We start from the raw sequence: 17,576 nt of genomic DNA on the forward strand, positions 1-17,576 counted from the left end.
GATCCACCCGCCTCAGCCCCCACAAAGTGCTGGGATTACAGGCGTGAGCCACTGCGCTCGGCCTAATTTTTGTATTTTTAGTAGAGACAGGGTTTCACCATAATGGCCAGGCTGGTCTCAAACTCCTGACCTCAGGTGATCCACCTGCCTCGGCCTCCCAAAGTGCTGGGATTACAGGCGTGAGCCACCTTGCCCAGCCAGGTTTGTTCTTCTATATCTAATGTGTCTTCTTCTTTGGTGGATTTTAAGATTTTCTCTTTATCACTGCTTTTGAGCAATTTGATTTTGATCTGTTATGTATTTTTTGAACATTTCTTGTGCTTGGGCTTCTTTGAGCTTTCTTTGTAGGTTTATAATTTTTCTCCAATTTGGAAAAACTGCAGCCATTATGTCTCCAGATATTTTTTTCTATCCTTCTGCTCCTCTCTGAGAACTCTAGTTACACAGATATTAGTGAGCTAAGGGTGTCTGACAGCTCATGGATGCTCTGTGGATCTCTTTCCAGTCTTTTCTCTCAGTTTCATTTTGGATAATTTCTATTAGTGTCTTCAAATTCACGAATCTTTTTCTCTAGAATGTCTAATCTGCTGCTAATGCCATCCAGTGTATTTTTGAGTCTCTAGAGGTTAAATTTATTTTTTTATTGACATCTTCCATGTCTCTGCTTAACATGTGGAATATTTCTGCTAGCTTCTTGATCATAAGAACACAGTTACAACTGTCTTAGTGCCCATGACTGTTGATTGTAATGTTTGTGTCAGTTCGGGGTTGGTTTTGATAGATAGAATTTTTTCCTGCTCATAATGAGTCAAATTTTCCTACTTCTTTGTGTGCCTGGAAACTTTAAATTGGATGCCAGAAATTGTGAACTTTATTTTATTGGGTGATGGGTATCTTTCTTTTCCTAAAATAATTCTTGAACTTTTTAATAGGGTACAGTTAGGTTAATTGGAAGCAGATTGATCCCTTTGGGTCTTGCCCAACCATGTCCACATTTGGGATAATTTCATCCCACAACTAAGGGAAGACCCTGTTGAGTACTCTACCTGATACTCTGTGAATTTTAAGATTTCTCACTGTAGGTGGTTAAAACGGGCAGTATTTCTTTTTTCGTTTTTGTTGTTGTTGTTGTTGTTGTTGTTTTAAAGACAGAGTCTTGCTCTGTCACCCAGGCTGGAGTGCCGTGGCACGATCATAGCTGACTGCAGCCTCAAACTCCTGGGCCCAAGCAATCCATCTGAACAGGCAGTATTTGTGACCGTGTGTGAGCTTCAGGAATTCTTGCATCTAATCCTTTGTGTGATCCTTTCTCCATCCTTGTTTATTCCTCCAATACATACACTGATCGTTATGCAACTGAATACTTCAGGGCGACCCTCAGCAGGTCTTCAGAATTTTCTCTCTGTAACTGTCTCCTTCAGGTATCCTGCCCTGTAAAAAGTAGCCACACTGGCTTCCTCAATTGTCCAGCACTGCCTCTTCAATTGTGGAGGGGCCGTTGTGCTCTGCCCTCTACATCATGGCCTGCGCATTTTTTTTTTTTTTTAGACAGAGTCTCGCTCTGTTGCCCAGGCTGGAGTGCAGTGGTGTGATCTCAGCTTACTGCAACCTCTGCCTCCTGGGTTCAAGTGATTCTCCTGCCTCAGCCTCCCAAGTAGCTAGAACTACAGGCACGCACCACCACATCTGGGTGATTTTTGTATTTTTTTTAGTAGAGACAGAGTTTCATCATGTTGGCCAGGCTGGTCTCAAACTCCTGGCCTCAAGTGATCTGCCCATCTCAGCCTCCCAAAGTGCTAGGATTACAGGTGTGAACCCCTTTACCCAGCCATGACCTGCACATTTTTAATTAAATTTTTTTAGAGGCAGGGTCTCGCTCTGTCACCCAGGCTAGAGTACAGTGGTGCGATCATAGCTCCTTGCGACCTCGAACTCCTGGGTCCAAGTCATCCTCCCACCTAAGCCTCCCAAGAAGCTGGGACTACAGGTGCACACCACCAAGTCCAACTAATTTTTTTTTTTTTTTTGAGACAGGATCTTGCTATGTTGCCCGGGCTGGTCTCAAATTCCTGATCTCAGGCAATTTAGGAAATTAGAGAGATCTAATCTCCTAAAATGCTGAGATTACAGGTATATAAGGGCTACACCCAGCCCCTAGAATTTTTTTCATAAGCTATAAGCTAAGGCAATTTCAGGATTCTTTTTTTCTTTTTTTTTTTTGAGACAGAGTTTTGCTCTGTTGCCCAGGCTGGAGTGCAGTGGCCCGATCTTAGCTCACTGCAACCTCTGCCTCCCGGGTTCAAGCAATTTTCCTGCCTCAGCCTCCTGAGTAGCTGGGACTACAGGTGCATTCCACCATGCCCAGCTAATTTTTGTATTTTTAGTAGAGACGGGGTTTCACCATGTTGGCCAGGATGATCTTGATCTCCTGACCTCGTGATCCGCCCATGTCAGCCACCCAAAGTGCTGGGATTATAGGTGTGAGCCACCGTGCTTGGCCAGGATTCATCTTTTTTTGTGTCACATGCTTAGAGTTTATGGTTCTTATTTTCCTGATGTCCTGATGAGAACTGTTGTCTCATTTTTTTGGTCCTGCTGTCTTAGTTGTTTCAGTTGGGAGATCCCTGTTACTCCATCTTGGCAGTAGCAGAAAACTTTTTTGTCTTTTTTTTTGAGACAGAGTCTTGCTCTGCTGCCCAGGCTGGAGTGCAGTGGTGCCATCTCTGCTCACTGCAACCTCTGCCTCCCGGGTTCAAGCGATTCCCCCTTCTCAGCCTCCTGAGTCGCTGGGATTACAGGTGCGTGCCACCATGCCCAGCTAATTTTTGTATTTTTAGTAGAGACGGGTTTCACCATGTTGGTCAGGCTGGTCTTGAACTCCTGACTTCAGGTGACCCGCCTGCCTCAGCCCCGCAAAATGCTAGGATTACAGGCATGAGCCACCATGCCCGGCCACAGAAATCTTTATTGTCAATTTTGTAGGCAGGATAATGATAGTTATTTTTTTATATTATAATGATGCTATATGATGTCTTGAATTTGCTTCAAAATATTTCTGTAGGGTGAGAGATTAAGAGAAGAGTATTGGGGCCGAGCGCGGTGGCTCACGCCTGTAATCCCAGGATTTTAGGAGGCCAAGACAGGTGGATCACTTGAGGTTAGCCATTTGAGACCAGCCTGGCCAATATAGTGAAACCCCGTCTCTACTAAAAATACAAAAATTAGCCGGGTCTGGTGGCTCACGCCTGTAATCCCAGCTACTTGGGAGGCTGAGGCAGGAGAATCACTTGAACCCAGGAGGCAGAGGTTGCAGTGAGCTGAGACCGCATCACTGCACTCCAATCTGGATGACAGAGTGAGACTCTGTCTCAAAAAAAAAAAAAAAAGAAAAAAAAACAGAGAAAAGTATTGAAATCAATATCCTTGAGTTGATGATTGTTTTGGTACTTGGCTGAGAGGATATGAGGGTTTATTGAATTATTTCCCCTATATTTGTGTAGATTGAAATTTTCCATTATAAAAAGTAAATATAAAGGGCTTATACTTGCTGATTTCAAAATTTATGTCAGGCCAGGCACAATGGCTCACGCCTGTAATCTCAGCACTTCGGGAGGCCAAGTCAGGAGGACTGCTTGAACCCAGCCTGGGCAACATAGCAAGATTCTGTCTTTACGAAAATGAAACCAGCCTGGGTAACATAGCAAGATACTCTCTTTACAAAAATTAAAAAAAAAAATCAGCCAGGCATGATGGCACACACCTGTAGTTCCACCTACTTGGGAGGCTGAAGTGGGAAGATTGCTTGAGCCCAGGAGTTCAAGGCTGCAGTGAGCTATGATTGCGCCACTACTCTCCAGCCTGGGTGGCAGTAAGACCCTGTGATGTGCTCCACCTCCATCTCCGACCTCACCTCCTCCCCCACTCCCATCTGGTCACTCCATTCCAGCCACACTGGCCGCCTAGATCCACAGATGCACCAGACTCTCCCTGCTCAGTATCTTTGGACTTCTGCCGGGAATGGTCTAGAAGATCTCCAAGTGGGCTTGCTCATTCATATTCCTCAAATCTTTATTTGACTGTCACCTCCTTAATGAGGACTTTCCCCTAGTGATGAGCTATCACTTATAATCCATCCCTACACTTCCCTGCTTTTCCTTCCTAGCACTTATCACTAGATAATATTCAACAACTATTACACGTTTATCTTCTTTATCTCCCTCACTAGAATAAAAATACCATAAGAGCAGAGTTTTTTTGTTGTTGTTAAAAATTTTGTTTTCACTGCTATATCACCACTGTTGAGAATAGTAGTCCACAATGGTCACAAAATGAATGTTTATTAGATACATTTATTAATATGAAGATACTCATGAATGAAACATTCCAAGTGAGAAATTTGAAACAATGTTAAACATTCAACAATAGATTATTTTTTATTATTAACATTATTATTTTTTTTTTGAGATGGAGTCTCATCCTGTCGCCCAGGCTGGGGTGCAATGACACGATCTCGGCTCACTGCAACCTCCGCCTCCTGGGTTCAAACGATTCTCCTGCCTCAGCCTCCCAAGTAGCTGGGATTACAGGCGTGTGCCACCACACCCTGCTAATTTTTGTATTTTTAGTAGAGATGGGTTTTCACCATCTTGGCCAGGCTCGTCTCAAACTCCTAACCTCATGATCCACCTACCCTGGCCTCCCAAAGTGCTGGGATTACAGGTGTGAGCCATTGTGCCTGGCCAACATTATTATTTTTTAGATCCAGGGTCTCCCTCTGTTGCCCAGGGTGGAGTGCAGTGGCACAGTCATGGCTTACTGCAGCCTCAACTTCCTCGGCTCAAGTGATCCTCCTGCCTCAACCTCCTGAGTAGCTGGGACCAGAAGCACGCGACACCATGCCCAGCTAATTTTTTTTTGTAGCAGTGGGGTTGCCCAGGCTGGTCTCAAACTTGTGAGCCTGTAACTGCTATATAACTATTAACTACTATATAAAGCACAATATCTAAAAGAAATATCATGCAGTCATTAAAAACTATCTGTTTCTGTGGAGGAGACCAAGGTACACATTGTGTTTGGCCAATATATTTCAACATTTGTCTCCAGAGTGTTTAGACAGAAAGAAGCAAGTTGCCTTCATAAAGCTAAAGTCACATTTCTTCCCTTACAGAATTTCAAAACAGCCTTTATGAAAAGTGAGTTATAGAATTTTTTTTTAGTAACAGACAATTGTTTTTAGTGAAGTACAGCTTTTATGCAATATTCTAGAAAAGTGATCACTTTCAAATTAACCTAGCATAAAACCTTTACCTGGTGTACATTCGACATACATGAAACTTGGGAATGCAGACTTCCACGTTTCTCCCTGAGTTACTGATCTAGTGAACACCAGTGTCACTGTGATCCAAGGCAGAAAATCAAACATTGCAAGCACCCTGGGATCCTTACACATGTCCCTTCTCAACCATAACCTGCTCTCCTCCCCTAGAGGTACCTACTAGTCTGAGTTCTATGGTAACGATTTTCTTTATTTGTTTAGTTTTATCTTCAAGTAAAAACAATAGGCTGTAATTTTGCCTGTTACTAAACTCTATGTACATAGAATTATATACTGTGGTTTCTTTTGCTCAGCACTTTGTTTATACAACTGTGGTATTGTGATATAATAAATATGTACTTTGGTCTTTATCTCCAGCTCCTGGCCAGAGAGCCTATAATTCTTTTAATTCCTAAGTGATAAAGGTGAAGGGTGAAAGGAATGTCTTTTTTTTTTTTTTTTTGAGATGGAGTCTCCGTCTGTTCTCAGGCTGGAGTGCAGTGGCGCAATCTTGGCTCACTGCAACTTCCACCTCCCAGGTTCACACAATTCTCCTGTCTCAGCCTCCCGAGTAGCTGGAATTACAGGCATGCACCACCACACTCAGCTAATTTTTGTATTTTTAGTAGAGACGGGGTTTCACCATGTTGGCCAGGCTGGTCTTGAACTCCTGACCACAGATGATCCACCCGACTCGGCCTACCAAAGTGTTAGGATTACAGGTGTGAGCCACCATGTCTGTCCATGTCTTTTGTTATTCATGACAAACCCTTTCAACCAAACCTGAGTTTATGCTAATGAGCTGACTCTTGGAGGGCGGGGGCTGGTTGCCATGTGCTATGGTTTAAATATCTGACCCTCCAAATCTTATGGAGGTGGGGCCTATGGGAGGTGTTTGGGTGATGGGGGTGGATTTTTCTTAGGAATGGCTTGGTGCCATCCTCTCTGTAATGAGTGACTTCTCATTCTATTGATTTCCACAAGAGCTGATTGTTAGGAAGGGATGGGCCCCTCCTGGCCTCCTGCTTCCTCTCTCGCCCTGTGATCTCTGCGCAATGGCTCCCCTTCAGCTTCTGCCATTACTGGAAGCAGCCTGAGGCCCTCACCAGAAGCAGGTGCTGGTACAATGCTTCTTGCACAGCCTGCAGAACCATGACCCAAGTCAACCTCTTTTCCTTATAAATTAGCCAGCTTCAGCTTTTCCTTTATCACAGCATTAAATGGACTAAGACACCAGGGAAGCCAAGCATGTGATTAGAGGATTGGAACTTTCAGCCATCCCCACCTCTGGGAATGGGAGAAGGGCTAGAGGTTGAGTCAATCACCAGTGACCAATGATTTAATCAACTGGGCCTATGTAATGAAGCATCTATAAAAGCCCTAACTGAAGAGGCTCAGAGAGCTTCAGGGTTGCTGAGAAAGGATATATCCACATGCAAGAGGGTAGCAGACCCCAAACTCCATGGGAACAGCAGCTCCCATGCTCAGAACCCTTCCAGACCTCACCCTATGTACCTCCTCACTGGGATCATTTGTAATATCCTTTATAATAAACCAGTAAACATAAGTAATGTGGTTCCCTGCATTCTATGAGCCATTATAGCAAATTGTCAAATGTGGGGTTGCAGGAACCCCTGATTTATAGCCAGTTTGTTAGAAGTTCAGGTGATAACCTGGGACTTGTGACTGGCATCTGAAGTGGGAGAGCAGTCTTGTGGGACAGAGCCCTTAACCTGTGGGGTCTCCACTAGCTCAGGGTAGTTAGTGTCATAACCGAATTGTAGTTTACCCATCTGGTGTCAGTAGGGTTGGATGATTGCTTAATGTGAAGGAAAACCTCACATATTTGGTGTCAGAAGTGTTGTGAGTAGAGGAAACAAGTGTTTTTCTTTTTTTTGAGATAGAGTCTCGCTCTGTCGCCCAGGTTGGAGTGCAGTGGCATGATCTCGGCTCACTGCAACCTCCTCCATCTCCTGGGTTCAAGCAGTTCTCCTACCTCAGCCTCCCAAGAAGCTGGGATTACAGGTGCCTGCCACCATGCCCAGCTAATTTTTGCATTTTTAGTAGACACGGGGTGTCACCATGTTGGCCAGGCTGGTCTCAAACTCCTGACCTCAGGTGATCCGCCTGCCTTGGCCTCCCAGAGTGCTGGGATTACAGGTGTGAGCCACCGCACCTGGCCGTCTTTTTCTTTTTTTATATTTTTTTGAGACAGGCTCTCACTCTGTTGCCCAGGCTGGAGTGCAGTGGTGTGATCATGGCTCATTGTAGCCTTGACTTCCTGAGCTCAAGTGATCCTCCCACCTCAGCTTCCTGAGTACCTGGGATTACAGGCACATGTCACCACGTCCAACTAATTTTTGTATTTTTTTAGAGTTGGGGTCTGGCTATGTTGCCCAGGCTAGTCTCAAACTCCTGGCCTCATGTGATCCTCCTGCTTTGTCCTCCTAAAGTGCTGTAATTACAGATGTGAGCCACTGTGCCCAGCCATGATTTTCTTTTAACCACACTTATTAGTGTATGACCTTTAGTTCATATGTTTCATTTTTGCATAGTATTCCATTATATGACTATACCACATTGTACTCTTGATGAGCATGTTGGTTGTTTCTGGTCTGTGGCTATTACAATGTGTTTCCAGTACTGTTGTTCTGTGTTCTGATGCATGTGAGTGCATCATTTAAAAAAAAAAAATATATATATATATATATATATACATCTGGCCAGGCACGGTCGCTCACGTCTGTAATCCCAGCACTTTGGGAGGCCGAGGCAGCTGGATCATGAGGTCAGGAGTTCGAGACCAGTCTGGCCAACATAGTGAAACCCCATCTCTACTAAAAATACAAAAAATTAACCAGGTGTGGTGGTGTGTGCCTGTAATCCCAGCTACTCGGGAGGCTGAGGGCTGAGGCAGAAGAATCGCGTGAACCTGGGAAGCAGAGGTTGCAGTGAGCCGAGACCATGCCATTGCACTCCAGCCCGGGGAACAGTGTGAGACTCTGTCTCAAAAAAAAAAAAAAAAAAAAAAATATATATATATATATATATATATATGTATCTTAGCATTACTGGGTGTCTTAGTCGTTTTGTGTTACCATAATAGAATACCTGAGGCTGGTAATTTATAAAGAAAAGAGGTTTATTTGACTAATGATTCTGGAGGCCAAAAGGTTCAAGACTGGGTAGCTTTATCTAGTGAGGGCCTCAGGCTGCTTCAACTCATGGGGGGAAAGTGGAAGGGGAGTAGTATGTGCAAGGAGATCACATAGCAAGAGGGGAAGCAAGAGAGAGAAACCAAGGAAGACAGCTAATCTATTCTGCAAGAGCAAGAACCCACTTATCCTTGAGGTAGGGCATTCATCTATTCATGAGGAATGACCCAAACAGCTCCCACTAGGCCCTGCCTCTCAACCCTGAATGAGTTTTGGTAGGGACAAAACACATCCAAACTATAGCACTGGGTGATAACAATGTGTATCTTTAGCTTTCCTACATAATGCCAACCTATTTTCCAAAGCCACTTGGAATTGTTAAGCTTTTCCATTTTTGCCAACGTAGTGGATGTGTATGGTATATAAAGATATTTCTAATTTGCATTTTCTTGATTACTAATGAGATTGATCATCTCTTCATGCATTTATTTGCCATTTTGGGTTTTCTGTTTTGTGCAGAATCTTAAGCTTTTATGTTTTGCCTTTCACATTGAAGTCTATGTAGTATAACGTAGGGATGCAATTTCTTTTCCTCTGTGGGTGCCCAATTGACCCAGCACCATTGTTCAGAACACCGTCCTTTTCTCAATCTTCTGCAATGAAGCCTTTGTCTAGTCTCAAGCATCCACATATGCATGGATCTGTTTGTGAGTTCTCTACTGTGTCCCATTATTTGATGTAGCTATTTCTGCCCTAATACTATACCCTATTTGAACAAAAAGAGGATGATTTAATGCTAATATATGGAGTGGAGAAATTCAACAAGGCCTGTCTGTTCAGGTTTCCTTGGCCTCACTGTTCCTCCCTGCAACACCCAGTGGAAGAGGAGCCCTCTGGAACTAGGGTTTAGTTTCTTTACAGCCAGCTGTCACATAGAAAGGCAGGGCTGGAGGAAGGTTAGAGTAGTATTTTCAGGTGCCACGGCTGGCTTTGGGGGAAAAGGGTTCTGGTTTCTATGACCTGCCAGGGGGAAGAGAGATTCTAGTTGCTGTGGCTTGCTTCAGAGAGGATGAGTGGCCACAGAGAGGAGGGCAGGAGAAGGTCAGAGAGAGACTGTGATTGTGAAGCTGATGCTTAGACCTTCATTTGGGATATTCTTTTCTGAGCCCCAACAACATACATTCATATGACCCATTGTTAATGAAAAGAGTCAAACTCTGGAAAATATTTGAAGAGATTTATTCTGAGCCAAATATGAGTGATTAATGGCCTGTGACACAGCCCTTAAGAGATCCTGAGAACATGTGCCCAGGGTGGTTGGGGCACAGTGGGGTTTTATACATTTTCGGGAGGCATAAGACATCAATCAAATACATGTAAGATACACATTGGTTCCTTTGGAAGGACAAGACAACTCAAAGTGTAGGGAGAGGGGTGCTTCCGGGTCCTAGGCCGATTTAAATATGTTCTGATTAGCAATTGGTTAAGTTGTTATCAATAGAATGTCCAGGTTGTGATAAGGGGTTGTGGAGACCAAAGTTTTATTATGCAGATGAAGCCTCCAAGTAACAGGCTTCAGAAAGAATAGATTGTAAATGTTTCTCATCAGACTTAAGGTCGGCCTTGATGTTAATGACCCACCCTCACCCCCACCTCCTTCCATCATGGCCTGAACAAGTTTTTCAGGTTAACTTTGGAAAGCCCTTGGCAGAGAGGAAGGGTCTATTCAGATGGTTTGGTGTTGGGTTCAGAATTTTATTTTTTGGTTTACACCATTATATCCGATCATATATAAATACAAACAAAAACTTCACCAAATATTACTTTCTTTTTCTAATGGTGTGTGTGTTTTGGGACAGGATCTCTGTCCCTCAGACTGGAGTGCAGTGGTGATTTCTGCTCACTGCAGCCTCAAACTCCCAGCTCAAGCGATCCTCCCACTTCAGCCTTCCGAGTAGCTGGAACCACAGGCACCCACATGATGCCCAGCTAATTTTTGTATTTTTGGTAGAGATGGGGTCGCATTAGATTGCCCAGGCTGGTCTCGACCTCCCTGGCTCACATGATCCTCCCGCCGCGGCCTCCGAGCGGCTGGGATCAGGCGTTAATCACCGCGCCCGGGCTTTATATTTCGTTTTGAAAATGCTGAGATGGACGCAAAGGGCTGAGTGCTCAGTGTCCCCCAGTCACCCTCAGTTGCAGCTTCCGTCCAAAGAAGGAATCGCCCTCTCCCTGCTGGGGCCACTAACAGCACTAACACGGTCCGAATGGCATCGGCAAAGCTCGGGAACGGCGACAGATGGGAAGACGCGTGGGAGCCTGGGGGATCTCGGGAGAGCCGCGCAAACTCGCGGCGGACGCAGCCAGCACCCGCAGCCAGCACCCGCACACTCCCACCCATACCCCGGCAGCCCGCCAAGACTCTCTGGCCCGCACCTCTATGGTAGGAAACCCAGAAAACAGGAAGTGGCCTCGAGAGGGGGAAGGGAGGGGCGGGGCCTCCGCCACCACCTCAGCTGCGGACCGAGGCGAGATGGCGGCCACCGAGGGGGTCGGGGAGGCTGCGCAAGGGGGCGAGCCCGGGCAGCCGGCGCAACCCCCGCCCCAGCCGCACCCACCGCCGCCCCAGCAGCAGCACAAGGAAGAGATGGCGGCCGAGGCTGGGGAAGCCGTGGCGTCCCCCATGGACGACGGGTTTGTGAGCCTGGACTCGCCCTCCTATGTCCTGTACAGGTAACGCCCCCGCGGCGGCCGCGGCTCGGGACACTCCCTGGAGGCCCAGCGGCCCCAAGACCCGCGGCGCGCGCTTCCGGCCCCGGCGCGCCAGGCCGAAGTTCCCGTGGCGCCGCGTGGGCCGGTGCATGGCGCTGGGCCCGGGCGGCTGCCGGGACGTCGCCGCTTCCCAGGGCGGCGCCGGCGCGAGACCGCGGGGACGCGAAGCAGCGAGGTCTCGGCTTTCCGCCTGCTTTAAGCCACGCGGAAACTGCTGCACCCTTGACTGCACTCGTTCAGCTGTTCAGGCGTCGCGATTCGTAAATATAAGAAATTTCCCGCTCTCTTCCACGGCTTCCCAGAACGCTGTGTCGCTAACAACCAGTGAAGACCCAAGGGCTAGGGTGCAGTTCTGGTAGCCGGGCAGGAAACCAGGGCCAGATTTGCTCACCCTAAAAACGAAGTGTGAGGGCTTCCAGTGGCTGGCTCTGCTTGGAGCCCAGAGACATTTTCATCCAATCTGTATTTTAGCGCCTCGTATCAGCCAGGCTAAAGGCTGAAAAGAGATTTGCTACTGAACCTCTCTTAAGTCTCCCTGCATCGCCTCGTACATAATACAAGTGAGGTGTACTGGGGACTGCGGTAACTTTCTTGCCTCTGTCACCCCGTCTTTGCTGACACCCAGTTCCATCAGTTCTTTGCTTTCAGATGGTAATGTTGATTCCTAATTCCCTGTGAACCTGCAGAGATAATCGCCTTAGGTCTTACTTCTGTAGTTCTAGGTAAATCCATTCGATGGCTTGTTTACCTTGATTTTGTGAATGAGTAGAAGTCACTACCCATATATATTTTTTTGATTGGAGATAGTGTTTTACTGATTTAAATTGGTAGCCCCATAATCCTCAAGTCTGCTCTCTGGATTGTGAAATACTCAGGTTCTCACGTGACTGTGGGTGATTTCCTGGTGACTAAATACAGCCTTACCTTTCCCAGGCCACTCCCCCAGGCTCTAGGTGTCACGTCTTAGGTCATGATTTCACTTGTATTTCTCCCTGTATAATGGACACAATTACTAGCATTGCGCATTGGATGCCACAGAATCTCTGCTGTCAACAGCTGATCATTATAGAGAAATAAAAAGTGAAAGGAAGGGCCGGCGCGGTGGCTCACGCCTGTAATCCCAGCACTTTGGGAGGCCGAGGCGGGCGGATCACCTGAGGTCAGGAGTTCCAGACTAACCTGGCCAACATGGTGAAACCCTGTCTCTACTAAAAATACAAAAATTAGCCGGGCGTGGTGGCGGGCACCTGTAATTCCAGCTACTCGGGAGGCTGAGGCAGGAGAATCGCTTTAACCCAGGAGGCAGAGGTTGCAATGAGCGGAGATTGCGCCCATTGCACCACAGCCTGGACAAGAGCGTGACTCCATCTCAAAAAAAAAAAAAAAAAGTGAAAGGAAAAGAATATAAGTGAAAGTGTTTAAGAGAAATTTTGTTACACTGGGTAGGTAGTTCACAGAAATTTCTGTAAGCACTCACTGTTGTCACTATACAGTTATTTTAGCATTGCTTATTAAGTAGTCATTGAATGCCGCCTGTGTGCTGTGGATGTTTTAAGTGCTTATCTCATTTAATCCTCCAAATACCCTTCTAAGGTTGGTAGGTAATAATACTGCCCTGATTTTATAAATGGTGAAACTGAGGCCCCAATAAGTAACTTTCTGAAGGTCACACAGCTATTAAGTGCTCCAGCCAATGTTACGACTTAGGCAGTTGTCAGATTCCAGAGCCTGTCTTATTAATGATCACCTGCGCCACCTCTTGAGTAAATTAATAGTACTTATTTTTATCTTAAAATGTCAATTCCTAGTATTTTGTTACTCAAACGTTTTAAAAATGCTGACTGACTCAAAGAATCTTACTAGACCAATGAGTTAGATTGATTTCTAAGTTAAAAATACTGTGAGGCAGGGAGCGGTGGCTCACACCTGTAATGCCAGCACTTTGGGAGGCCGAGGCGGGCGGATCACCAGGTCAAGAGATTGAGACCATCCTGGCCAACATGGTGAAACCCCATCTCTACTAAAAATACAAAAATTAGCTGGGCTTGGTGGCGCCCGCCTGTAGTCCTTAGTCCCAGCTACTCGGGAGGCTGAGGCAGAAGAATTGGTTGAACCCAGGAGGCAGAGGTTGCAGTGAGCCGAGATGACACCACTGCACTCCAGCCTGGGCGACAGAGTGAGATTCCGTCTCAAAAAAATAAAATAAAAAAAAGTACTGTCTACTTGCTGCAAAAACTTATTTTTCTACTTATAAAACTTTAAATTTGAAAACTGTTGATTAGCTTTTCAGCATCTGAGGGTTATTTGTTTTAATTTTACTTTAATAGTTTAATGTGTAAAACATATTGGCAAAACTTGGTCATGAAGAATCCAACCATGATTACATTATGAGCCCTGTAAGTTATTAATATCAATGTAACTGTAATTATTGTCATTTTAAAAACACTAGAGTCCCTTTTCTTCTGTATTTGAATGTAACCACTGGTTGGGGAATGTCTGTTTTCAGGGACAGAGCAGAATGGGCTGATATAGATCCGGTGCCGCAGAATGATGGCCCCAATCCCGTGGTCCAGATCATTTATAGTGACAAATGTAAGTTTGTTTATATTAGGAAAAGGTCTGTAAGTTAAATATAGTAGCAGAATTGGAATTCACAACTATGTAGCAAGATAGATGACAAATTTCTGTCTAATAAAAATCTGAATGACTTAAGATGAGTTAATTTTGTGTTTTTTTTATGTGTGTGTGTGATTTAGCTTTATGATTAAAAGTTTTATTTTGCCCAAAGACTGGACATATTCTAAATAATAAACGTTACAGTATAGTAGATAATAGCTACTATGTGATTGTGGTTTTCTTTTCTTTGCTGGAGACTCCACCGCCAGGGAGATTATGCATGTACCACACAATATAAATGAGTTACTGTTTTTAGAATAAACTTTGGTTGCTGAAACATCAGGATTTAAACATATATTTTGGCAGTGAAGTGTTCAGCTCAGTTGGAATACATTTATTGATATTAAAATGAGTGGATTTTTTTCTTTGACAAAATATTCTTTTGTAATGAATGTGAAAGTGTAAATTGAAGGTCGTGGAAATGTTAATTGTTAGTTCTTCTAGGAAAGGGAAAATGAATAAAATGGAATGATAGTTTTGTAATTTTATGTATATATATTTCTTTCAGTTAAGGCTTTTCTAAGATCATTCTTTTACAAAAGCATTTTTTTTCTGCTAATAAAATGACAATAAATGTTTAAAAAAGCATAATGATAGGTTTGCCGTATTAAGTGTGCAGATATATTACTAAACTTAATGATTAAGTGGAAGTAGCACAGAAGTAGATTTGTAAAGACTCGAGAAATAGATCCTCACTCTATGAAAGCTTAATATGTGATAAAAAGGACATTTTATACCTTTATGAAAAGGGTGGATTAATCAAATAATGGTTGGAACAGTTGGCTGTGCACTTAGATAAAAGCAGAGTTGTATCCCTATCATTCTTAGGATGGAGAACGTATTAGGCAAGATGTAAACCTCAGAATCGATTAAGGAGAAGGTCAGAATATATAACTGCACGGAAATGCAAAACTCTCATACTTTGAGAGATAGTATATATGAAGAGACAATTCACAAAATAGAAATATCTATGAAGAGATATTAACCTTACTAGTGATCAGAGAAATATAAACCATAACTTATTCAGATTCATAAGTACTTATAACAGAGATGTTGGGGGAAACTAATATAATCATATGTTTCCATTGAGGATAAATTAACCTTTTTGCAAGGTATAAAATTAACATTTTGGGCCAGGCGCGGTGGCTCACGCCTGTAATCCCAGTACTTTGGGAGGCTGAGGTGGGCAGATCACCTAAGGTTAGGAGTTTGAGACTAGCCTGGCCAACGTGGCGAAACCCTGTCTCTACTAAAAATACAAAAATTAGCTGGGCGTGGTGGCAGGCGCCTGTAATCCCAGCTACTCAGGAGGCTGAGGCAGGAGAATTGCTTGAACCTGAGAGGTGGAGGTTGCAGTGAGCCACGATCACGCCATTGCACTGTAGTCTGGACGACAAGAGCAAAACTCTGTCTCAAAAAAAAAAAAAAAAAATTAACTTTGTGAATTCTTACATACACCATGGTTAGAAACCCTAAAGGAAAAGATAAGTTTGACCTGTCAACCGTTTATAGACAAATATATCAATTTAAAACTTACACAGCAGAAGAAACCATGAGCAAGTTAAAAAGCAAGCAGCAGTGTGGAAGAAGGTATGTCATTTAAACAGGATCCATATTAAAACTGAGACGTTTTTACAACAGGATAAGGAGACAGAGAGTTTAATCAAAAAATGGACAAAGGGTATGAACTGGCAATTCACAGAAAAGAAAATCCCATTGGCCAATAAAATAGGAAGAATCCTTTATCATTAAGAATGACAGGTTAAAATGAGAATTCCATTTTCCACCCATGATTTAAGTGGCAGAAATGAAAACTGTCTTGATATTATATTAGGTATTAAGATATATGAAGAGCTCCATACATTTCATATGGGATTTTTCGAATGTTTAGCCATTTTGGAAAGTAGTTTGGTATATCTGTTAAAACTGGAAAATGCACTTATCTTACAACCTAGCAGTGTGTTGCTTCTAATTTAATATTGGGTTCATTCTGGCACATGGCATGAGAAGATATGCACAGGAGGTTAAAAGCACAGACTTTGGAGCCAGACCATCTGGTTCAAATTCTAACTTCACATTTTACTGACTGTGTAATCTTGGACAAGTTATTTAACTCCTATGTGCCTCTGTTTCCACCTGTGTAAAATGAGGATCTTGGTAGTAACTATAGATGTAGTAAATTATTTACATAAAATAGTAGAATACTGTCTGGCTCATAGTAAGCACTATATATGTTAGCTACTATAATTTGCAGCATTTTTTGAAAAAGCAAGATATTGGAAGCTATATGTCTATCTTTTGGAGAAATGGATAAAATAAAATGTATCATTGTCATACAGTTAATACTATATAACCGTTAAGAGGATTTAGATCTATTATAACATGAACAGATCTCAGAAACAATGTTGAGTTAAAAAAGTCAAAGTTTGAGAATCTTCGAGCATGACAATATGTTGTTTATAATTTTTTTTTTTTGAGATGGAGTTTCGCTCTTGTTGCCCAGGCTGGAGTGCAATGGCATGATCTTGGCTCACCGCGACCTCCGCCTCCCGGGTTCAAGTGATTCTCCTGCCTCAGCCGCCCGAGTAGCTGGGATTACAGGCTTGCGACACCACACCTGGCTAATTTTGCATTTTTAGTAGAGACGGGGTTTCTCCATGTTGGTTAGGCTGGTCTCGAACTCCCGACCTCAGGTGATCCGCCCACCTCGGCCTCCCAGAGTGCTGGGATTACAAGCGTGAGCTACCGCGCCTGGTCTGTTTATAATGTTTGAATTAAAAGAATAATGTTTCATTTTACCTTTTACAGTGAATCGGATTTTGGTTGTTTACATAGGAACCTGAGGCTTTGGAGCTATCCCAGCCTGATAGCCTCCCAGTTTATTTTATCAATGTGCATATGTGTATGTTTTATGTGTGTGTGTGTGTGTGTGTGTGTGTGTAAGATAATGTATTATATATATACATTTGTATACATATTTAATATGTTACCATTTTGTTTTAAATTTGAAATTATTTGGAAGCTTGGTTTTTTTTTTGAGACAGACTTTCGCTCTTGTTGCACAGGCTGGAGTACAATGGCGTGATCTCGGCTCACTGCAACCTCTGTCTCCCAGGTTCAAGCGATTCTCGTGCCTCAGCCTTCTGAGTAGCTGGGATTACAGGCATGTGTCACCATGCCCAGCTAATTTTTGTATTTTTAGTAGAGATGGGGTTTCACCATGTTGGTCAGGCTGGTCTTGAGCTTCTGACCTCAAGTGATCCTCCCACCTCGGCCTCCCAAGGTGCTGAGATTACAGGCCTGAGCCACTGCTCAAATTCAACTTTTTAAAGATAGTGTTTAGAACTAGGTAAACTTTGTATACCTCAGAATTTTGTGAAGAGGAGTAATTGTTCATATTCGTGTCTGATACTTTCAGTGTTACAGGCTAAAAGGAAAAAACTGTTTCTCTATAGTCAAAATACTTCGACACCAAATGTTTGGATTTTTCACACCAAGCAATTTTCTGTAGACACCAACTAGTTGCCCTACAATTTAATTCAGTTCTGACATTACCCAGAGTTAGCACAGATCCCACAGGCCAAGGGATCAGTGCTGCAACATCCATCCCACTTCAGATGCCATTGCAAGTAGTGGGTCACCACATTACCCACATTTAA

The 17,576-nt window shown here is 43.7% G+C and overlaps 1 protein-coding gene across 2 annotated transcripts in view, besides 2 other annotated features; it reads left to right on the forward strand.

Annotated features, from left to right (window-relative positions):
- Positions 10,608-10,797: an enhancer, noted in NCBI's record as "active region_27320". NCBI's record gives its function as "activates an Ori minimal core promoter by ATAC-STARR-seq in GM12878 lymphoblastoid cells {active_cell/tissue: GM12878}" and the evidence as "EXISTENCE:reporter gene assay evidence [ECO:0000049][PMID:35858748]".
- Positions 10,928-11,497: a silencer, noted in NCBI's record as "silent region_19162". NCBI's record gives its function as "represses an Ori minimal core promoter by ATAC-STARR-seq in GM12878 lymphoblastoid cells {active_cell/tissue: GM12878}" and the evidence as "EXISTENCE:reporter gene assay evidence [ECO:0000049][PMID:35858748]".
- Positions 10,979-17,576, forward strand: part of FNTA (farnesyltransferase, CAAX box, subunit alpha) — a 29,463-nt gene continuing 22,865 nt past the window's right edge. Inside the window, exons 1-2 of one of the 2 annotated variants that reach the window (NM_002027.3) lie at positions 10,979-11,202; positions 13,748-13,833. In NM_002027.3, the coding sequence (NP_002018.1) occupies positions 11,003-11,202; positions 13,748-13,833 (286 nt within the window). In that variant the 5' untranslated portion in view covers positions 10,979-11,002. The remainder of the gene's footprint in view (positions 11,203-13,747; positions 13,834-17,576) is intronic. The other variant, NR_033698.2, reaches the window with a different exon arrangement.

This window comes from Homo sapiens, chromosome 8, assembly GCF_000001405.40.
Source record: "Homo sapiens chromosome 8, GRCh38.p14 Primary Assembly".
Lineage (NCBI taxonomy): Eukaryota > Metazoa > Chordata > Mammalia > Primates > Hominidae > Homo > Homo sapiens.